The sequence below is a fragment of the Homo sapiens genome, chromosome 11, assembly GCF_000001405.40.
Source record: "Homo sapiens chromosome 11, GRCh38.p14 Primary Assembly".
Lineage (NCBI taxonomy): Eukaryota > Metazoa > Chordata > Mammalia > Primates > Hominidae > Homo > Homo sapiens.
In genome coordinates this window covers 16,676,687-16,700,300 of record NC_000011.10, presented here as the reverse complement: position 1 = coordinate 16,700,300, position 23,614 = coordinate 16,676,687, and the positions used below count along the sequence as shown (strand labels likewise).

At 38.6% G+C, this 23,614-nt stretch overlaps 1 protein-coding gene across 1 annotated transcript in view, besides 2 other annotated features; it reads left to right on the top strand.

Annotated features, from left to right (window-relative positions):
• SOX6 (SRY-box transcription factor 6) overlaps nucleotides 1–23,614 on the top strand; it is a 772,029-nt gene that overhangs the window by 38,177 nt on the left and 710,238 nt on the right. The window lies entirely within an intron of this gene.
• Nucleotides 20,904–21,431: an enhancer, noted in NCBI's record as "H3K27ac-H3K4me1 hESC enhancer chr11:16700417-16700944 (GRCh37/hg19 assembly coordinates)". NCBI's record gives its function as "activates a minimal SCP1, AML or CMV promoter by ChIP-STARR-seq in primed H9 embryonic stem cells {active_cell/tissue: H9 hESC(primed)}" and the evidence as "EXISTENCE:reporter gene assay evidence [ECO:0000049][PMID:30033119]".
• Nucleotides 21,432–21,960: an enhancer, noted in NCBI's record as "H3K27ac-H3K4me1 hESC enhancer chr11:16699888-16700416 (GRCh37/hg19 assembly coordinates)". NCBI's record gives its function as "activates a minimal SCP1, AML or CMV promoter by ChIP-STARR-seq in primed H9 embryonic stem cells {active_cell/tissue: H9 hESC(primed)}" and the evidence as "EXISTENCE:reporter gene assay evidence [ECO:0000049][PMID:30033119]".

Sequence of the window (23,614 nt, the reverse complement as noted above, 5' to 3'; positions counted from 1 at the left end):
TGTTGTTTCCATCTGTCACAAATGCCTTTCCATGTGCTGTACCCTTTTCTTGGATACTTCTTCTTTTTCCTCCCATTTTACCTATTAGTGTTTGTATATGTTTCAGATTTTCATTCAAAATTTGCTTCTTTAGGGAAGCTTTTCCTGATTTCTCTGACCAGACCAAATCTTTTCATTTTAGCCAAGAGTACCATTTCTTTGTATCATGTATCATAGTAGTGATTTGTACATGCTGTATTTCTGATTATTCACATTATTTGCATGTGTCTGATTATTTAACAAATGGCTTCCCACACACTAGATCAAAAGCTCCATGAAGGAACTGAGCCTGTTTTTGCTCACCAGTATAATTCTAGTGTCCACTTGTTTTGCACTCAGTGGGTACTTAATAAATATTTGCTGAAAGGACAAATGTAAATAAAAGATGAATAGCAGCCTCCAAAGGATTTGCATTCTGTGTGACAAAGATAATATGTGCATGAATAAGTAATACAAGAGCAATTATAGGACAGCAATTATAGCAGTTAAAGCAGGATCTCATAATTTCCAAGAATGTTCTGTGATGTAAGTATTTGTATGTGTCTTATTGTCAAGTCTCTTGCTTGCAATCAGACACAAAATGTATCATACAACGATGTGTCTAACACAGTATCTAGTATAGTGTGACTTGTACATAATGGGCATTCATTAAATATTTAATGCATGTAGATAAATTTATAAACTGTATATTAGACTTCAAAATGAGTATAAATAGGAATCATCAGAGCAGAATCACTTGTTTAAAACACAGGCTCCACTCCAGAGATAGCAACTTCAGTAGAACTTGAGTAAAGCAAGCCTGAAAATTTGCATTCTAAATAAGCACCCCAAGTAATTCTGACACAAATAATGTCAAGAAACATGACCATAAGTTTCTTGGTGGCAGCGTGATGTTCTGGTTAAACATAGGGTTGGGAGTCAGAGATTCTTGGGTTTGAATCTTGGTTCCCTGCTAACTAGCTATTATTTAAAGCTCTGGGTGAGAATTTTTTGGCTATAAAATGGGCTATAGTAATATCCAATTCCTAAGACTATTGTGAAGACAAAAAATAAATGAGAAAATATATGCTAAACATTTACTATAATGCCTGTCATATAAATCCTCAGTAAATGGCATAATTAGTTTTTGATTGTCAACATTTAACCCAGTGCATAGAACATACAGGCATACCTCATTTTCTTGTGCTTTGCAGATACTGCATCTTTTGCAAATTGAAGGTTTGTGGCAACCCAGTATTCAGCAAGTCTGTCAGTGCCATTTTTCTAACAATATATGCTCACTTCATATCTGTGTGTCACATTTAGATAATTCTTGCAATATTTCAACCTTTTTCATTATTGTTATATCTCTTACAGTGACCTGTGGTCAGTGATTTTTGATGTTACTATTATAATTATTTTGGAGTGCCACAAACCTCTCCCATAAATGACAATGAACCTAATTGATAAGAGTTGTGTGTTCTAACTGCTCTACCAGCCAGCCATTTGCCTGTCTCTCTCCCTCTCCTCAGTCCTCTCTATTCCCTGAAACACAACAATATTGAAATTAGGCCAATTAATAAGCCTACAATCGCCTCTCGATATTCAAGTGAAAGGAAGAGTTGTCTCTCACTTTCAATCAAAAGCTATAATTGATTAAATTTAGGGAAGAAGCCATGTTGAAAGCTAGGCCTCTTACACCAGTTAGCCAAGTTGTGAATGAAAAGGGCAAGTTCCTGAAGGAAATTCAAAGTGCTATGCCAATGTGAACACAAGAATGGTAGGAAACCAAAACAGCCTTATTGCTGATAAAGAGAAAGTTTTAGTGGTCCAGATGGAAGATCAGACCAACCACAAAATTCTCTTAAGTCAAAGCCTAATCCAGAGTAAGATTCCAACTCTCCCAGTTCTAGGAAGGCAGAGAGAGGTGAAGAAACTGCAGAAGAAAAGTTTGAAGCTAGGAGAGGTTGGTTCATGAGGTTTAAGGAAAGTAGCTGTCTCTATAACATAAAAGTGCAAGTGCTGATGAAAAAACTGCAGTAAGTTACCCAGAAGATCTAGCTAAGATCATGATGAAGGTGACTACACTAACTACAGATTTTCACTGTAAATGAAATAGCCTTATATTGGAAGAAGATGCCATTGAGGACTTTGATAGCTAGAGAGGAGAAGTTAATGCCTGGCTTCAACACTTTGAAGGACAGTCTGACTCTCCTGTTAGTGGCTAATGTGGCTAGTGTCTTTAAGTTGAAGCCAATGCTCATTTACCTTTTTGGAAGCCTTAGGGCCCTTAAGAATTATGCTAAATCTACTCTGCCTTTGCTCTATAAATGAAATGACAAAGCCTGGATGACAGCACATTTGTTTATAGCATAGTTTACTGAATATTTTAAGCCCACTGTTGAGAACTACGGCTCAGAAAAAAATTCCTTTCAAGACAGTGCTCATTGACAGTGCACCTGGTTACCCAAGAGCTCTGATGGAGATGTTCATGGAGATTAATGTTTTCATGCCTGCTAACACAACATCCATTCTGTAGCCCATGGACCAAGGAGTAATTTCAGCTTCCAAGTCAGTATTTCAGAAATACATTTCATAAAGCTGTAGCTGCCAAACATAGTGATCCTTTAATGGATGTGAGCAAAGTAAGTAGAAAATCTTTCTTCTTTTTTTGAGATAGAGTCTCACTCTGTCACCCAGGCTGGAGTGCAGTGAAGCGATCTCGGCTTCAAGCAATTCTCCTGCCTCAGCCTCCTGAGTAGCTGGGATTACAGGCACGTGCCACTATGCCTAACTAATTTTTGTATTTTTAGTAGAGATGGGGTTTTGCCATGTTGGCCAGGCTGGTCTGAAACTCCTGACCTCAGGTGATCCACCCACCTCGGCCTCCCCAAGTGCTGGGATTACAGGCATGAGCCACCGCACCTGGCCCAATAAAAAATCTTTTAGGAAGGAGTCACCATTCTAGATGCCATTAAGAACATTTTGATTCATGGGAGGAGATCAAAATATCAACATTAATAGGAGTTTGAAAGAAGTTGATTCCAACCCTCATGGATGACTTTGAGGGGCTCAAGACTTCAGTGGAGGAAGTAACTGTAGATATGGAAGCAGCAAGAGAAGTAGAATTAGAAGTAGAATCAGAAGTGGAGCCTGAAAATGTGACTGAATTGTTACAGTGTCACAATACAACTTGAACCAGTGAGGAATTGCATTTTATGGATGAGCAAAGAAAGTGGTTTCTTGAGATAGAATCTACAGCTGATGAAGATGCTGTGAACACTGTTGAAATAACAATGAAGGATTTAGGATATTTCATAAACTTAGTTAATAAAGCAGCAGCAGGGTTTGAGAGCATTGACTCCAACTTTGAAAGAAGTTCTGTGGTTAAAATGCTATCAGATAGCATCACTTGCTACAAAGAAATCTTTCATGAAAGGAGAGTCAATCAATGTGGCAAACTTCATTGTTGTCTTATTTTAAGAAATTCCCACAGCCACCTCAGCCTTCAGCAACTATCACCCAGATCAGTCAGCAGCCATCAACATCAAGGCAAGAACCTCCACTAGCAAAAAGATTATGTCTCACTGAAGGCCCCGATAATTATTTGCATTTTTCAGCAATAAAGTATTTTAAATTAAGGTACATATATTGTTTTTAAGACATAATGCTATTATACTTGATAGACTACCATATAATACAAACAAAACTTTTATATGCATTCAGAAACAAAAAGCAAAAAAAATTCATGTGACTCACTTTTTTTGTGACATTCGCTTTATTGAAATGATCTGGAACCAAACTTGCAATATCTCTGAAGGTATGCCTATAATTGATGTTCAGTGAGTGTTTGATAAATGAATATAGTTATAAGATTTTGATATTTATAGCTAGAAGATAATTTGAAATTATATAATGCAATGTCTTTATTTTACATATCAGGAAATTCAAGCTCAGAGAGACTAGATGACACATTCAAGGTTATATATCTAATGACTTAATTAGCGGAAGAACTGAGACCGGAACTTAAGAGTGAAAAGGAAAATCTTGTCATTACCATTTGTTGAACCACCATTTGTGGTTAGAGTTACATTTAGATTTTAAATAGGTAGACTGAGATAAATTTCTGTTTATAATCAATAACACCTTTCAAAATGTTCATTTCTTAAACATTAAAATGACAAATAGGAAACTATTAAGTAAACTACAACTAAATGGCTTTGTAGTTGTTGGATTCTGTTTGTTTGTTTGTTTATTCATTTATTTGTTGGGATGAAGTCTCATTCACTCTGTCACCAGGCTAGAGTGCAGTGGCATGATCTTGGCTCACTCACTGCAACGTCTGCTTCCCAGGTTCAAGCAATTCTCCTGCCTCAGCCTCTCAAGTAGCTGGGATTATAGGCATGCAACATCAGGCCTGGCTAATTGTGTGTGTGTGTGTTTTTTTTTTTCTTATTGGTAGAGACGGGGTCTCACCATGTTGGCCAGGCTGGTCTCAAATTCCTGACCCCAAGCAATCTGCCCGCCTAGGTCTCCCAAAGAGTGGAGTATAGGCCTGAGCCACCATGCCTGGCCGGATTCTGTTTATTTCTAAATATCACAACAAAGACTGCAGTGTTTCCTGAATAGAATTAAGATATCACATGTGTTCTTAGAACAGTAGAAACACAAACTCCTTGAAGGGGCTAAGTCTGTCTCTTGCCATCAGGCAATAATGGTGGTCTGGTATTTCCTGTCTTTCTATGAATCTGTTACTTATCCAACAGGTAGATTAAAATGAAATTAAAATGCATGGTGATTTATTTTGGGTTTGAAAATACTGTTTTTGATTTTCATTTACTCCACTCATTTTTCTGTATTTTATTCTGTTATATTATGCTTACATTCCAGTTTTGATTAACTTCTCTATTAGGCTTCTTAGATTACTAGGTCTTAAGATTTAATGAAAATTTTGCTTATTTTGTGTTGGATAGAATTTTATTTTTTCATTTCTAGATTTGCTAAGTATAAAATGCAGAATTCACCTTTGTGCAATCTGTCTCAGTACAGCAGTGTATGGGAGCTATGGAAATAATATCCATTGATGAAAGTCTTCTTTTTATCCCTGATGCAATCCTCAGAGATCTTTTTCCTTTGGTGAATTACATATAGAGAACTGGCTTCTTTCTGGGGAACTACAGTCATCCCTTGGTATCCGTGGGGGATTGATTCCAAGACCTCCTGTGGATACCAAAACCCACATATGCTCAAGCCTCTTTTATAAAATGGTGTAGTATTTGCATATAACCTATGCACATCCTCCCATGTATTTAACATTGTCTCTAAATTACTTATAATGCCTAATACAATGTAAATGCTATGTATATAGTTGTTATACTGTTTGTTTAGGGAATAATGAGAAGGAAAAAGTCTGTACTTGTTCAGTACAGATACAACCATTCTTTTTTTTCCCCAAACATTTTTGATCTTTTGTTGGTTGAGTGCACGGATGCAGAACCTGTGGATATAGAGGACTAACTGTGTGTTATTTTAGAGTGGTAGATGAACTTTGGTAGGTGCTGTGTTTGGTATGTTTGTCCATCCATTTTCCCTACTACTTGCCAGTTATATAAGACAGCATGAGTAATAAGACTTCTGACATTTTAAATGCAGAAATATTACATAAATACTATTACATAAAGATTTAAAATTTTCTTGTAAATAGTACCTCTGTATTTTTCTGAGGTTAGGAATGATCTTTTATTTATTTATTTTTTTATAGAGACAGGGTCTTATTCTGTTGCCCAGGCTAGAGTGCAGAGGCACTATCATAGCTCACTGTAGCCTCAAACTCCTGGGCTCAAGCGATCCTCCTGTCTTAGCCTCCTGAATAGCTGGGGCTACAGGTATGCACCACCATACCCGGCTAATTTGATTCTGTAGTGGCACAGTCTCTCTGTGTTGCCCAGGCTTGTCCTGAATTCCTGGCCTCAAACCATCCTCCTGTCATGGCCTCCCAAACTGTTGGGACTACAGATGTGAGCTACCATGCCTGGCTCCAGAAGTACCTTACTTTTAAAGGATTGGCATGCATTTTATTTCTCCTACAGTACAAAAATCATGACCTTACATACTAAATCCTTGTTTCTTAAGTTTGACAATACTGAATAGAAAGAGACTGTTAGGGATAGATTAATGGTTTTCATAGGCAGGACTCATCTGCTGTGTTAGGTAGAAGTCAAAAATATATTTCTGTTGAAAACAAGTTAGATACTTGGTTTGGGAAGAAATGAAGAGTAATGCTCAGCTAGGAGAATTAATTACTTCTCTAGCATAGAATGTTACATGAATTTATTTTTTAGGACCTAAAAACTATCTTAAAATAAATATTGAAATTGATGCCATGAACTGAATCATACTTGAGTTGGAGAAAAAATGACAGGTATCTATGAGTGAATTATTAGTGTTTTCCTCATTATATGTAGATAATACTTCTGCTGTACTATCAGAATATGGACTTAGAAAGTTTTTGGCTCCTTAATGATGAGGAGGTTTACAAATACATTTGTTCATATGATTTAATATTGGGAACCATTACATTTACATCCAGGAGTATAATTTTAGAATAAAGTTAACTTTTATTATGTTGAAAATTGTGACAAAGAACATTTAGTTTACTCTGGTCTTAGGGAACTATTTAAATATAAAAAGCGATGGGATTACATGGATTCCATGAAAAGTTAAAGCTTCTATATATTAAAAATTCCTAAAATTAAAAGATAAATTTCAAATTGGCATAAAATATTTACAACTGATATGATAGAGAATTAGGATCCTCATTTTGAAAATAATATTAATGAAAAAACTGGATAGAAAACATCACTAGAAGAATCACACACAAAAAGATTGTATATAGTGAATAAACATGAAAATTAGTCAAATAATTACAATAAAATAAATGAAAGGTAAATCAAATCACCACCAAAGATAAATAATGAGTTGGAGGAAAAATCACCACCAAAGAAATACTATTTGTTGGGTCTCAATTTTTTAGTGACAATAATGCTGTTCAGGGTATGGTAAGATGGAGATACTTCCTAATGGGACTAAGAATTGGTACAACATTTATGGAAAGCAGTTTATTCTTATTCTTATTGTTTACTATTTGACCTAGTTCAACCTCACTTCTAGGAATAGGGCTTAAAATATTAACCAGAAATAACAAAAGATTTGTGTACAAGTATACCCATCACATCATTAATGGGAATGGAAAATGAAAAGTGGAAAATGCTCTAAATGCCAAACAGTAAGAGAATAATTATTAGAACGAATCATATGAAAGTGCCAGTATTTGACTGTTACTAACATTTAAAAACATCAATTTCATATGATTCAGTGTAATGCATAATATTGTGGCTTATGATATGATGCAATTTTATGCAGATATAAAATAGTGTTTATAAACAATCTCTAATAAAATGAAAAATGCTCACTATATTCTATGAAAGTAGGATACAAAACTTTATAAATAGGACAATACTGATTTTGTAAAAGAAAAAACAATGTGTGTGTGTGTACACATCTATATGTAATGATATGAAAAATATATTATTCACCAAAACACCTTTTGGGGAGAACCCTTATTTATTTGGAGAAAATCCTTAATAAACTGCTTGGAGTGATTTTTCAGACTCCAAGCTGGATATTCAAGTTCAAAAGTTGGTAAACTGTCTTCTAAATAGAGAGTCTTTTGTTTTGTGTTTATGTAAGTTTGGATATGGGACCTAGAGAATACCTCTACAGGGAGAGACAAATGAGAGCAAAGGCAGAAAGGAAGAGCTTCTTAGGAGGTTGGGGCAGGCTGCATTGAGGAGGGGTTTGGGAGAATAAAAATATCTAAGGGGGATTCTAAATTTGTTAGCTGTGGAGAAAGCTCACTAAAAAAATTTCAGTGGGCCAGGTGCGGTGGTTCACACCTGTAATCCCAGCACTTTGGAAGGCCGAGGTGGGTGGATCACCAGCCTGGCCTACATGGCGAAACCCTGTCTCCACTAAAAATACAAAAATTAGTTGGGCATGGTGGTGCATTCCTATAGTCCCAGCTACTAGGGGCTGAGGCAGGAGAATCCCTTGAACCTGGAGACAGAGGTTGCAGTGAGCCGAGATCACGCCACTGCCTGGGTGACAGAGCAAGACTCAGAAAGCGCGCGCGCGCACACACACACACACACACACACACACACACACGCACACGCAAATCAAAACTTCAGTGAAGTCTAACTGATTACTACTAAAGCTTTTTTCTTTTTCTTTTAAAGAGAGACGGACAACCTAAACAGGGAGGTAAGTGGAGAAATATTTTTTAGGACTTCAGAGCCAGCCAATGAGGGAGTAGATGCATCTGGTTTACAAATACATAGAAAAACCAGAGAGATGTAATCTAAAAGGTTAATGATTATTATCTTGAGTGATGGTGTTTTGCTTTGTTTTTCCCTTCCTTTCTTTTGAGTCAGGGTTTTATTCTTGTTGCCTAGGCTGGAGTACAGTGGTGCAATCTTGGCTCACTGCAACCTCCATCTCTTAGGCTCAAGTGATTCTCCTGCCTCACCCTCCCAAATAGCTGGGACTACAGGCACATGCCACTGCATCTGGCTAATTTTTGTATTTTTTGTAGAGATGGGGTTTTGCTGTGTTGCCCAGGCTGGTCTCTAACTCCTGAGGCCAAGTGATCCACCTGCATCAGCCTCGAAAATGCTGGGATTACAGGCCTGAGCCACCATGCCCAGCCAGTTTTTTCCCTTCTTTACACTTCTGTTTTATTCTTTAAATGTATTACTTTTGTAATCATGAAGTTAGATAAAAGTCTCAGAAGAAAAAATCTTTCTCTTTGATGCTTTGATTTGGTTGCCTCTTTCCACTATAAGTGAATTCTCCCTAATGGAAACATCATTCTGATATTCCTTAATTTGCTTGCCTTTGTAAATGGTCTAAAACAAACAAGACAGTGTCCGCAGTTTCTCCCTTGCCTTCTACTTTTGTCACCTTTTCTTTCTTTTAGCTAGCTTCCTCTGCTGCCTTGTGAACTTTGATTATCTAATACATTAAGTAACTTGCAGAAACAATTCTCAGACAATACCGTTCTGATGGTTATCAGGATTGTGCCAACTAACTCCAAGGAGGGTCATGAAAACAGGAATGATCCTCAATTTTGAGTTTCAGTTAAAGTAAAAAAGAAACAAAGAACAAAAAAACCTGCTGCCCAAGTCAAGACTGCAAGGACTCGTAGTTTCCCCTATCCTGTAGACGTTCTGATCCTGCTTCCATTGGGGAGTTACCTAATCTTCAGATGCTTCCTAATGCACATTAGCTGAATGAAGCCTTTGACCTCTATTTGAATCACTTATGGATTTTTAAAAAAGTATTTCCTTACTAAAGCCTAACAATAATCAACGTGTTACTATATGTCATTTATGGTGGCAGGTACTTGACATATAACAACCAATTTAATACTCACAGCCCACAAATTATTATTCCCACTTTACAAATGATGTAATAGAGTTTAAGTAACTTGTCCCAGGTAACCCAACTTGGAAATGGCCAGCAATGCCAATTCTTTTACCCTCCAAAGACAGAATGTTTCCTTGCATCGCATGAAAAGCCAAGGAATTAAGTCATGTAATGAGATTTTTAAAAAAGTACAATTTTCAAAACATATAGTGGGGTACTATTTTGAAATGTTATAGAAAGTTTTCCTTTTTGACAATTCTGTTTTACCTTGCTTGTATCCCTTATACTATTAAAACTAGATTCTGAGACAGATTTTTTTGCTTCAGCAAAGGGGAAACAGAAAAGAACTAAGCAAGAATAAAGAGTCAAAATCTTGGCTTTGAATTTTAAAATGGGTTCTATAAAACCGATGAAAGAGATAATAGTCTGGAGAGAAAACAGAATTTTAAGCTTTATGGGCTAAGATCCCTGGTGATTCAGATCCTTGAGTTTATGTCATAAGCCACAGAGAGAGGAATGATGTATCTCTTAGCACACTCAGAGAAGATAAAAACACTTCATGCATGGAAAAAAATCATGGGACAAGGCTGGGTGCAGTGGCTCACACCTTGGCTCAGGCCAAGGTGGGCAGATCACTTGAGGCCAGGAGTTTGAGAACAACCTGGCCAACATGGCAAAACTCCACCTATACTAAAAATATAAAAGTTAGCTGGGTGTGGTGGCGCACATTTGTAATCCCAGATACTCGGGAGGCTGAGGCATGAGAATTGCTTGAACCCGAGAGGCGGAGGTTGCAGTGAGCTGAGATTGCACTGCTGCACTCTAGCCTGGGTGACAGAGTGAGACTCTTTCAAAAAAAAAAAAAAAGCCATGGGACATTTACAAAAATTGATTATAACCTTGGTGACAAAATCTTAAATTTCAGAGATGCACAATCTCTGATAAAACTCATTAAATATAGAAATAAACAAATGATGACCTCTCTAAAATTTTAATGATTTATAAGGTAAACAATCTTCTTAATTGGAAACCAAAACAAATAAATATAAATTATCTAGAATGTACTTAAAAGCAAAGCATTTTATACCAAAACCTATTGAACTCAGTTAAGGCTATTTACGTAGTAAACTTTTTAAATATTTAAATTTAGGTGGACATTTATTTATTTATTCAGTGAATGCCAAGCATGCTGCTAGGACTACTAAAATCAAGACATTAGTGTCTGGTTCTTTTGCTTTTAGCCAAGATGGACTAGTAGGCATCGGGTCTACCTTCTTGCCTAAGTATATGAAGGAAAAAATAAAATATACAAAACAGTGGTTTTCAAGCCATTGGACATCAGGCAATAATAGTGATCCTTGAAATTCTGGAAATAAACAAGATGAGCCCTACAGTTGTTCCAGCTTACAACCTTGAGAGAGTTTTCAGGCTATGTATGGCACAAGGAAGAGGGACCCAGAATTGAAGACATTACATTTGGAGTCCAGGGAGGTCAGTGTGGCTAGAGCTTCAGGTCAGAGTGTCAGGAAAGAGCTATTTTAAAGTACTTTAAAATTCTTTCTAGAGAACTCCAGAGATCTGCAAAGGGTACCCCATGGGTCTTCAGTTGTGTAGCAATCCATGCATGGGTGTGAGGAAACTATTCTCGTCCAGGGAAAGAATAGCCATAAAGGATTAGAAGAAATAACAATCAATGACAAAACAGGTTTAGTTTCAATTTTTACCAGCTAGAGTAGAAAAATATCATAATTAATAAGGGCATAAGGTAGAAAACTCAGAAGTGGTTGGCCTCAGTAGGGAGGCAAAATTAGACTATATACTGCTGGACTAGATACTGTTCTAGTTCTGCCTAATAAAGCTTAAAAGCAAGACCCAAAAGGATCAAACTGTTTTCAAGTAACTTAACTTTTTCTTAGAACACAGTTCAAGCATATTCATAGGAATACAAAAACATCCAACACCCATCAAGGTAAAATTTACAATGTCTGGCATTTAACAACAATTTAACGGCAATCCAAAACACCAGGAAAATACAACCTAATAGGAAGAAAACAATCAATCAATTGAAACTTACCCAAAAATGACATTAAAAAGTATTAATAGTTATGATGGTATTCTATATGTTCAAAAAGCTAGAGGAAAGACTACACAAAGACATGGAAGATATAAAAAACGATACAAATCAAACCGTTAGAGATGAAAACTACAATGAGATTTCAAAAAGTCCACTGGATGGAATGAACAGTGTATTAGATATTACAGAAGAAAAGATTAAATATCTTGATAACATAATAATAGAAACTCAACAAAATGAAACACACAGCGAAAAATGACCAGAAAAAAATGAACAGAGAATCAGTGAGCTGTGGGACTAATTCAATTAGCCTAGCATGTGTGTAATAGGAATCTCTGAAAGGGAGTAGGGAAAGAAAAATATTTAAGTAAAATAATGGCCAATATTTTTTCAGATTTGTTAAAAATCATAAGCTCCAATCATAAGAAACTCATTATAATAAAAATTTATTAAAGCCAACCCAGGCAGAATGGCTCATCCCAACACTTTGGGAGACTGTGGTGGGTGGATTGCTTGAGCCCAGGAGTTCGAGACCAGCCTAGGCAACATAGTAAGACCTCATCTCTATAAAAAATAAACAAAATTAGCCAGGTGTGGTGGTGTGCACCTGTGTTCCCAGCTACTTGGGAGGCTGAGATGGGAGCATCGTTTGAGTTTGGGAGGTTGAGGCTGCAGTGAGCCAAGATCATGCCACTGCACTCCAGCCTGGATGACAGAGTGAGACCCTGTGTCAAAAAAAATTATTAAAGCCAGTGATAAAGGGAAGAACTTAAAAAAAGAGGAAAAAAGACATTATTTATAGAGAAACAAAGATAAAAATAATAATTGACTTCACATTGGAAGTAATGCAAATGAAAAGATAGTGGCACAACAACTTTAAAGCACTATAGGGGCTGGGTGTGATAGCTCATGCCTGTTACACTAGCACTTTAGGAGGCTGAGGTGGGAGGATCACTTGAGGACAGGAGTTTGAGACCAGCTTGGGCAACAAAGCAAGAACTGGACTCTAAAAAATTATAAATAAATAAAGCAGGGTGGAAATACAACTGTCAACCTATAAATCTATTGCCAGCAAAAATATTCTTCAAAAGTCAAGGTAAGATAAAGACTTTTTATGCACATAAAAGCTAAAGATTCAGGCCGGGCATAGTGGCACATGCCTGCAATCCCAGCACTTTGGGAGCACTTTGGGAGGCAGGTGGATCACCTAAGGTCAGGAGTTTGAGACCAGCCTGGCCAACATGGTGAAACCCTGTCTCTACTAAAAATGCAAAAATTAGTTAAGGAGGTGTTTGGTCATGGGGGCAGATCCTTGATGATTTGATGCCATCATCATGGTAGTGAATGAGTTCTCATAGATCTGGTTGTTTAAAGTGTGTGGCACATCCTTCCACCCACTCTCTCTCTTGCTCCTGTTCTCCCATGTGAGATGCGTGCTCCTGCTTTACCTTCTGCCATGAGTAAAATCTCCCTGAGGCCTCCCCAGAAGCTGAGCAGATGCTAGCACTGTGCTTCCTGTACAGCCTGCAGAACTGTGAGCCAAGCAAACCTTTCTTTTTAAATTACTCAGTCTCAAGTATTTCTTTTTTTGTTTTTTTGACACAGAGTCTTCTTCTGTTGTCCAGGCTGGAGTGCATCAGCATGATCTTGGCTCACTGCAACTTCTGCCTCTCACGTTCAAGTGATTCTTGTGCCTCAGCCTCCCAAGTAGCTGGGATTACAGGCATGTGCCACCACGCCTGGCTAATTTTTTTTTTTGTGAGACATCGTTTCACTCTGTCACCCAGGCTGGAGTGCAGTGGTGCAATCTTGGCTCACTGTAACCTCTGCCTCCCGGGTTCAAGCGATTCTCCTGCCTCAGCCTCCTGAGTAGTTGAGATTACAGGTGCCTGCCACTAATTCTCAAATATTTCTTTATAGCAATGCAAGAATAGCCTAACACAGAAAATTGATACTGAGGAGTAAGGCTTTGCTATAAAGCTACCTGAAAATGTGGAAGCAACTCTGGAATTTGGTAATGAGCAGAGATTGGAAGAGTTTTGAGGGACAGAAGACAGGAAAATGAGGGAAAGTTTATAACTTCTTAGAGACCAGTAAATTGCTGTGAACAAAATGCTGATAATGATATGGACAGTGAAGTCCAGGCTGCTGAGGTCTCAGATTGAAATGAGGAACTTATTAGGAACTGGAATAAAGTTCACTCTTGAGATACCTTATCAAAGAACTTGGCTGTATTGTGTATTGTGTCCATGCCCTAGAGATCTGTGGAAGTTTGAGCTTGAGAGTGATGACATAGGGGTATCTGGCAGAAGAAATTTCTAAGCAGCAGTGTGTTGAAGATGTGGCCTACTCTCAGATACAGGAGCAAAGGAATGACTTAAAGATGGAATTTATATTGAAAAGGGAAGCAGAGCATAAAGATTTGGAATATTTGTGGCCTAGCCATGTGGCAAAGAAAGAAAAAGATTTTTTGGGAAGAGGAATTCAACCACTTGCTAGAGATATTTGCATAACTAAAAGGGAACCATGTGCTAATAGCCAAGACAATTAGGAAAAGGCCTTGAAGGCATTTCAGAGACCTTTGTGGCAACCCCTTCCATCACAGACCCAGAGGTCTAGAAGGCAAGAATGCTTTTATGGGCCAGGCACAGGACCCCACTGCCCTGTGCAGCCTTGAGACACAACCTTCCGCATCATGGCTGCTGCAGCTCTAGCTGGGGCCCAATGGGGCCCAGGTGCAGCTCGACCTACCACCTTGGAGAATGTGAGCTGTAGGCCTTGGTGGTTTTCACATGGTGTTAAGCCTGTCAGCACGCAGAGTGCAAGAGCGAAGGCTTGGCAGCCTCCACCAAGATTTCAGAGAATGTATGAGAAAGCTTAGGTGCCCAGGCAGAAGCCTACTGCAGGGTACAACAGTACAGAGGAGAAATGTGGGGATAGAACCCCAACACAGAGTCCCTACTGGGGCATTGCCTAGCGGAGCTGTGAGGCCACTATTCTGCAGACCCAAGAATGACAGATCCACTGACAGCTTGCACCTTGTTCCCAGAAAAGCCACAGGCACTTAGCTCTAGTGCATGAGAGCAGCTGTGGGGGCTGCATCCTGCAAAGCCACAGGGGTGGAGCTGTCCAAGGCCTTGGGAGCCCACCTTTTGCACTAGTGTGCCAGGGATGTGGGACATGGAGTCAGAGGAAATTATTTTGGAGCTTTAAGGTTTAATGAATGCTCTGCTGGTTTTTTCAAACTTTCATGGGGCCTGTAACCCATTTCTTTTGGCCAGTTTCTCCCTTTTGGAACAGAAATGTTTACTCTATGCCAATACTCCCATTGTATCTTAGTAGTAAATAACTTGTATTTTAGTTTACAGGCTCATGGTTAGAAAGTACTTGCTTTGTCTTAGATGAGACTTTGGATTTGGACTTGGGACTGGGAACTTTTGAATTAATGCTGGAGAGTTAAGACTTTGGGGGACTAATGGGAAGCCATGATTGTATTTTTTTTAATTTATTTTTATTTTTTTGCAGTGTGAGAAGAACATGAGCTCTGAGGGGCCAGGAATGGAATGATATAGTTTGAATATATGTCACCACCAAATCCCATTTTGAATTGTATTCCCCAAAGTTGAAGGTGGGGCCTGGTGGGATGTGTTTGGGTCATGGGGGCAGATCCCTCATGGCTTGGTGCTGTCCTCATGGTAGTGAGTGAGTACTCATTAGATCTGGTTGTTTAAAAGTGTGTGGCACCTTACGCACCTCTTGCTCCCATTCTCGCCATGTGACACGTCTGGTACCGCTTCACCTGCCATAAGTAAAAGCTCGTGGGGCCTCCCCAGAAGATAAGCAGATGCTGGCACCATGATTTCTGTGCAGCCTGCAGAATTGTGACACAAGTAAACCTCTTTTCATTATAAATTACACAGTTTCAGATATTTCTTCTCTTTTTTTTTCCAAAGAGAAAGGCCTTTACTTTTATTTTATTTATTTATTTTTAAATTATACTTTAAGTTCTAGGGTACATGTGCAGAACGTGCAGGTTTGCTACATAGGTATACATGTGCCATGTTGGTTTGCTGCACCCATCAACTTGTCATTTACATTAGGAATTTCTCCTAATGCTATCCCTCCCCCAGCCCCCCACCCCGCCAATAGGCCCTGGTATGTGATGTTCTCTGCCCTGTGTCCATGTGTTCTTATTGTTCAGCTCCCACCTATGAGTGAGAACATGCAGTGTTTGGTTTTCTGTCCTTGTGATAGTTTGCTGAGAATGATGGTTTCCAGCTTCATCCATGTCCCTACAAAGGACATGAACTCATCCTTTTTTATGGCTGCATAGTATTCCATGGTGTATATGTGCCACAATTTCTTAATCCATCTATCATTGATGGACATTTGGGCTGGTTCCAATACTTTGCTATTGTGATTAGTGCCATAATATACATACTTGTGCATGTGTCTTTATAGTAGCATGATTTATAATCCTTTGGGTATATACCCAGTAATGGGATCACTGGGTCAAATGGTATTTCTAGTTCTAGATCCTTGAGGAATCGCTACACTGTCTTCCACAATGGTTGAACTAATTTACACCCACAGTGTAAAAGCTTCCCTATTTCTCCACATCCTCTCCAGCATTTGTTGTTTCCTGACTTTTTAATGATCACCATTCTAACTGGTGTGAGATGGTATCTCATTGTGGTTTTGATTTGCATTTCTCTGATGACCAGTGATGATGAGCATTTTTTTCATATGTCTGTTGGCTGCATAAATGTCTTCTTTTGAGAAGTGTCTGTTCATATCTTTTGCCCACTTTTTGATGGAGTTGTTTGTTTTTTTCTTGTAAATTTGTTTAAGTTCTTTGTAGATTCTTGATATTAGCCCTTTGTCAGATGGGTAGATTGCAAAAATTTTCTCCCATTCTGTAGGTTGCCTGCTCACTCCGATGATAGTTTCTTTTGCTGTGCAGAAGCTCTTTAGTTTAATTAGATCCCATTTGTCAATTTTGGCTTTTGTTGCCATTGCTTTTGGTGTTTTAGTCATGAAGTCTTTGCCCATGCCTATGTCCTGAATGGTATTGCCTAGGTTTTCTTCTAGGGTTTTTATGGTTTTAGGTCTAACATTTAAGTCTTTAATCCATCTTGAGTTAATTTTTGTATAAGGTGCAAGGAAGGGATCCAGTTTCAGCTTTCTACATATGGTTAGCCAATTTTCCCAGCACCATTTATTAAATAGGGCATCCTTTCCCCATTTCTTGTTTTTGTCAGGTTTGTCAAAGATCAGATGGTTGTAGATGTGTGGTGTTATTTCTGAGGCCTCTGTTCTGTTCTATTGGTCTATATATCTGTTTTGGTACCAGTACCATGCTGTTTTGGTTACTATAGCCTTGTAGTATAGTTTGAAGTCAGGTAGCATGATGCCTCCAGCATTGTTCTTTTTGCTTAGGATTTTCTTGGCTATGTGGGCTCCTTTTTGGTTCCATGTGAATGTTAAAATAGTTTTTTCCAATTCTGTGAGGAAAGTCATTGGTAGCTTGATGGGGATAGCATTGAATCTATAAATTAACTTGGGCAGTATGGCCATTTTCACGATATTGATTCTTCCTATCCATGAGCATGGAATGTTCTTCCATTTGTTTGTGTCCTCTTTCATTTCGTTGAGCAGTGGTTTGTAGTTCTCCTTGAAGAGGTCCTTCACATCCCTTGTAAGTTGGATTCCTAGGTATTTTATTCTCTTTGTAATAATTGCGAATGGGAGTTCACTCATGGTTTGGCTCTCTGTCTGTTATTGGTGTATAGGAATGCTTGTGATTTTTGTACATTGATTTTGTATCCTGAGACTTTGCTGAAGTTGCTTATCAGCTTAAGGAGATTTTGGGCGGAGATGATGGGGTTTTCTAAATATACAACCATGTCATCTGCAAACAGAGACAATTTGACTTCCTCTTTTCCTAATTGAATACCCTTTATTTCTTTCTCTTGCCTGAATGCCCTGGCCAGAACTTCCAACACTATGCTGAAGAGGAGTGATGGGAGAGGGCATCCTTGTTTTGTGCCAGTTTTGAAAGGGAATGCTTCCAGTTTTTGCCCATTCAGTATGATGTTGGCTGTGGGTTTGTCATAAATAGCTCTTATTATTTTGAGATATGTTCCATCAATACCTAGTTTATTGAGAGTTTTTAGCATGAAGTGCTGTTGAATTTTGTTGAAGGCTTCTTCTGCATCTGTTGAGATAATCATGTGGTTTTTGTCATTGGTTCTGTTTATGTGATGGATTATGTTTATTGATTTGCGTATGTTGAACCAGCCTTGCATCCCAGGGATGAAGCTGACTTGATCGTGGTGGAGAAACTTTTTCATATGCTGCTGGATTTGGTTTGCCAGTATTTATTTTTATTTTTACTTCTTTTGAGACGGAGTCTTGTTCTGTCGCCCAGGCTAGAGTGCAGTGGTGCAATCTCAGCTCACTGCAAGCTCCGCCTCCTGGGTTCATGCCATTCTCCTGCCAGTATTTTATTGAGGATTTTCACACCAATGTTCATCAGGGATATTGGCCTAAAATTTTCTTTTTTTGTTGTGTCTCTACCAGGCTTTGTTATCAGCATGATGCTGGCCTCATAAAATGAGTTAGGGAGCATTCCCTCTTTTTCTATTGATTGGAATAGTTTCAAAAGGAATGGTACCAGCTCCTCTTTGTACCTCAGGTAGAATTCAGCTGTGAATCTGTCTGGTCCTGGACTTGTTTTGGTTGTTAGGCTATTAATTATTGCCTCAATTTCAGAACCTGTTATTGGTCTATTCGGAGATTCAACTTCTTCCTGGTTTAGTCTTAGCAGGGTGTATGTGTCGAGGAATTTATCCATTTCTTCTAGATTTTCTAGTTTATTTGTATAGAGGTGTTTATAGCATTCTCTGATGGTAGTTTGTATTTCTGTGGGATCAGTGGCAATATCCCCTTTATCATTTTTTATTGTCTCTATTTGATTCTTCTCTCTTTTCTTCTTTATTAGTCTGGCTAGTGGTCTATCTATTTTGTTGATCTTTTCACAAAACCAGCTCCTGGATTCATTGATTTTTTTGAAAGGTTTTTTTGTGTCTCTATCTCCTTCAGTTCTTCTCTGATCTTAGTTATTTCTTGCCTTCTGCTAGCTTTTGAATTTGTTTGCTCTTGCTTCTCTAGGTCTTTTAATTGTGATGTTAGGGTATCAATTTTAGATCTTTCCTGCTTTCTCTTGTGGGCATTTAGTGCTATAAATTTCCCTCTACACACTGCTTTAAATGTGTCCCGGAGATTCTGGTATGTTGTGTCTTTGTTCTAATTCGTTTCAAAGAACATCTTTACTTCTGTCTTCATTTTGTTATTTACCCAGTAGTCATTCAGAAGCACGTTGTTCAGTTTCCATGTAGTTGTGTAGTTTTGAGTGAGTTTCTTAATCCTGAGTTCTCATTTGATTGCACTGTGGTCTGAGAGACAGTTTGTTGTGATTACTGTTCTTTTACATTTGCTAAGAAGTGTTTTACTTCCAATTACGTGGTCAATTTTAGAATAAGTGTGATGTGGTGCTGAGAAGAATGTATATTCTGTTGATTTGGGGTGGAGGGTTTTGTAGATGTCTATTAGGTCTGCTTGGTCCAGAGCTGAGTTCAAGTCCTGGATATCCTTGTTTTCCTTCTGTCTTGTTAATCTGTCTAATATTGACAGTGGGGTGTTGAAGTCTCCCAGTATTATTGTGTGGGAGTCTAAGTCTGTTTGTAGGTCTCTATGGACTTGTTTTTATGAATCTGGGTGCTCCTGTTTGGGTGCATATATATTTAGAATAGTTAGCTCTACTTGTTGAATTGATCCCTTTACCATGATGTAATGGCCTTCTTTGTCTCTTTTGATCTTTGTTGGTTTAAAGTCTGTTTTATCAGAGACTAGGATTGCAGCCCCTGCGTTTTTTTGTTTTCCATTTGCTTGATAGATCTTCTTCCATCCCTTTATTTTGATCCTATGTGTGTCTCTGCACATGAGATGGGTCTCCTGAATACAGTACACTGGTGGGTCTTGACTCTTTATCCAATTTGCCAGTCTGTGTCTTTTATTTGGGGCATTTAGCTCATTTACATTTAAGGTTAATATTGCTATGTGTGAATCTGATCATGTCATTATGATGTTAGCTGGTTATTTTGGCCATTAATTGATGCCGTTTCTTCATAGCGTCTATTGTCTATACAATTTGGCATCTTTTTGTAGTGGCTGGTACTGGTTGTTCCTTTCCATGTTTAGTGCTTCCTTCAGGAGCTCTTGTAAGGCAGTCCTGATGGTTACAAAATCTCTCAGCATTTGCTTGTCTGTAGAGGATTTTATTTCCCCTTTGCTCATAAAGCTTAGTTTGGCTGGATATGAAATTCTGGGTTGAAAATTCTTTTCTTTAAGAATGTTGAATATTGGCCCCCACTCTCTTCTGGCTTGTAGGGTTTCTGCAGAGAAATCTCTGTTAGTCTGATGGGCTTCCCTTTGTGGGTAACCCGACTTTTCTCTCTGGCTGCCCTTAACATTTTTTCCTTCATTTCAACCTTGGTGAATCTGAAAATTATGTGTCTTGGGGTGCTCTTCTCACGGAGTATCTTTGTGGTGTTCTCTGTATTTCCTGCATTTGAATGTTGGCCTGCCTTGCTAGGTTGGGGAAGTTCTCCTGGATAATATCCTGAAGAGTGTTTTCTAACTTGGTTCCATTCTCCCCATCACTTTCAGTTACACCAATCAGACATAGATTTGGTCTTTTCAGATAGTCCCATATTTCTTGGAGGATTTGTTCATTTGTTTTCATTCTTTTTTCTCTAATCTTGTCTTCATGCTTTATTTCATTAATTTGATCTTCAATCACTGATATCCTTTCTTCCACTTGATCAAATTGGCTATCGAAGCTTGTGCATGTGTCACGAAGTTCTTGTGCTTTGGTTTTCAGCTCCATCAGGTCATTTAAGGTCTTCTCTACACTGTTTGAGTTAGCCATTCCTCTAACTTTGAAGATTTTTAACTTCCTTGTGATGGGTTAGAACACGCTCCTTAAGCTCAGAGAAGTTTGTTATTACCAACCTTCTAGAAGCCTACTTCTGTCAACTTGTCAAACTCATTTTCTGTCCAGTTTTGTTCCCTTGCTGGTGAAGAGCTGCAGTCCTTTAGAGGAGAAGAGGCACTCTGGTTTTGGAATTTTCAGCTTTTCTGCTCTGGTTTCTCCCCACCTTTGTGGGTTTATCTTCCTTTGATCTTTGATGTTGGTGACCTACAGTGGGGTTTTGGTGTGGATGTCATTTTATTGATGTTGATGCTATTCCTTTCTGTTCGTTAGTTTTCCTTCTAACAGTCAGGCCCATCAGCTGAAGGTCTGTTGGAGTTTGCTGGAGGTCCACTTCAGACCCTGTTTGCCTGGGTATCACCAGCAGAGGCTCCATAACAGCAAATATTGCTGCCTGATCCTTCCTCTGGAAGCTTCATCCCAGAGGGGCACCCACCTGTATGAGGTGTCTGTTGGCCCGTACTGGGAGATGTCTCCCAGTCAGGCTACACAGGGGTCAGGGACCCACTTGAGGAGGCAGTCCGTCCACTCTCAGAGCTCGAATGCCACGCTGGGAGAACCACTGCTCTCTTCAGAGCTGTCATACAGGGACATTTAAGTCTAAAGAGGCTGTCTGCCTTTTGTTCAGCTATGCCTTTCCCACAGAGGTGGAATCTAGAGAGGCAGTGGGCCTTGCTGAGCTCTGGTGGCCTCCACCCAGTTCGAGCTTCCTGGCTGCTTTGTGAGCATAAAACTGCCTACTGAAGCCTCAGCAATGGCGGATGCCCCTCCCCCCACCAATCTGCAGCATCGCAGGTCAATCTCAGACTGCTGTGCTAGCAGTGAGCAAGGCTCTGTGGGTGTGGGACCCACCGAGCCAGGCATGGGAGGGGATCTCCTGGTTTGCTGGTTGCTAAGATCGTGGGAAAAGCTCAGTATTTGGGCAGAAGTGTATTGTTCCTCCAGGTACAGTTTGTCACGGCTTCCCTTAGCTAGGAAAGGGAAATCCCCTGACCCCTTGCACTTCCTAGATGAGGCAATGTCCTGCCCTGTTTCAGCTTGCCATCCTTGGGTTGTACCCACTGTCCAACCAGTCTCAATGAGATGAACCAGGTACCTCAGTTGGGAATGCAGAAATCACCCATCTTCTGTGTTGATCTTGCTGGGAGCTGCAGACTGGAGCTGTTCCTATTTGGCTATCTTGAAGTGGTACCGGTTTCAGATATTTCTTTATGGCAATGCAAGAATAGCCTAACACAATTTGAAAGCTAAATAATATACTTCTAAATAAATAGATTTTAAAAAGAAATTAGAAGGTCAATTTAAATGGAAAGAAAATGAAAACATAACATGTTAAAACTTGAGGAATGCTGTTCAATTAGTCCCTATAGGGAAGTTTATATGACTGAAAACCTGCATTAGAGAACAAGAAAACTCTCAAATCCATCACTTTAGATCCACATTATGAAATAGAGAAAGACAAGCAAACTAAACCCAAACTAACCATGTGGAAAGAAACAATAAAGATCAAAATGAAAATTAATGAAATAGAGAACAGAAAAACAGTAAGAAAAAATCAGTGAAATCAAAATTGGTTCTTTGATATTGATAATGTTGATAAACATCTAGTCAGAGTGATAAGGAAAAAAGATAAAAGAAATACATGAATATTCTACAGATACTAAAAGGATAATAGAAGAACTTTATGCCTATGGATTCAATAGCTTAGATGAAATTGAAATCAATTTCTTAAAAGACACTACCAGAGCTTACTTAAGAAGAAATGAATAACCTTAGTATCTATATATTCATTAAAGCAATTGGTTTTGTAAGTCAAAATCTTCTCAAAGAAAATTCCAGTGCCAGATAGCTTCACTGGCAAATTCTACCAAACATTTAAAGGAGAAATAATACTAATCAGACAGAAACTCTTCCAGAAAATTTATGATGGGGGTAGATGAGGCTAGCATTACTCTGACACCAAAACCATACATACAACAACATTATAAGGAAGAAACTCAAACTCACAGATCAATACTCCTTACAAAAACAAATTAAAAAATTTAGAAAAGTCTAACAAATCCAAATATGTAGAAAGAATAATTCATCACGACCAAGTGGACTTTCCTCTGAGGAATGTAAAATCGTTTTAACTTTATATAATCAGTTAATGCTGAGTAACATAAACAAAAATGGTGGAGTAGAGAAGTCCCAAAGTCCATCCCTCCACAAAAACTGGCAAAAAATTTGAAGATCGAGTTTTTTAAAACTTGAAACTAATCAAAAGCTTACAGCAACCAGGGAAATATTTAATAATAATTAAATAAAACCTTGAATCTCTGTAAAATAACTTTGTAACACTTTAACTTACTCAGGTTTTCCTCATTTCCCATCTTGGTGGTGGTTTTAAAGACAGCTGACATTCCAGCTACAGGTACATAGTACAAGTGGGAGCAGCATGGACCTTATTCCCAAAGAACTGTGGCTTTGACCTGTCTGGTGCTTCCATGAAGTATTACATAAAAGGCTTGCCATTAGTTTGTTTAACTCAGAACTTTCTCACAGATGAGATGGCTACCCTGGAGGTATAGTTTGGAAACATTTAAAAGCAAATGTTTTTATTGCTGCCACCTGGGGAAAGGCATAATAGTTGGGGCAAACAATAGAGTAACCAAAAAGCTGAGGAAGAAAGGCTGGGGAAAGAGTTATTTTGGGGAATACGCTTTGAAAAGTACCCACATATTCCTGGTAATCTAGAAGGCCAACTGCATGCCCAGGACTGAGTGCATACTAAAAAAAAAAACCTGAGAAAGACCTCAAGTTTTCTTCTCGGAATGACTTTTAGGATCTGTGTAAGCAGGAATTGAGGACTAAGGAAGTTGTAAACTGTATGTTGAAGGCATGCTCAACATATACGAAGCCCATTTACAAAGACTGGGAGGTTTTTGTTGTTGTTGTTGTTGTTTGATTTGTGTTGATTCTAGGCATTTAAGGAAATCTCT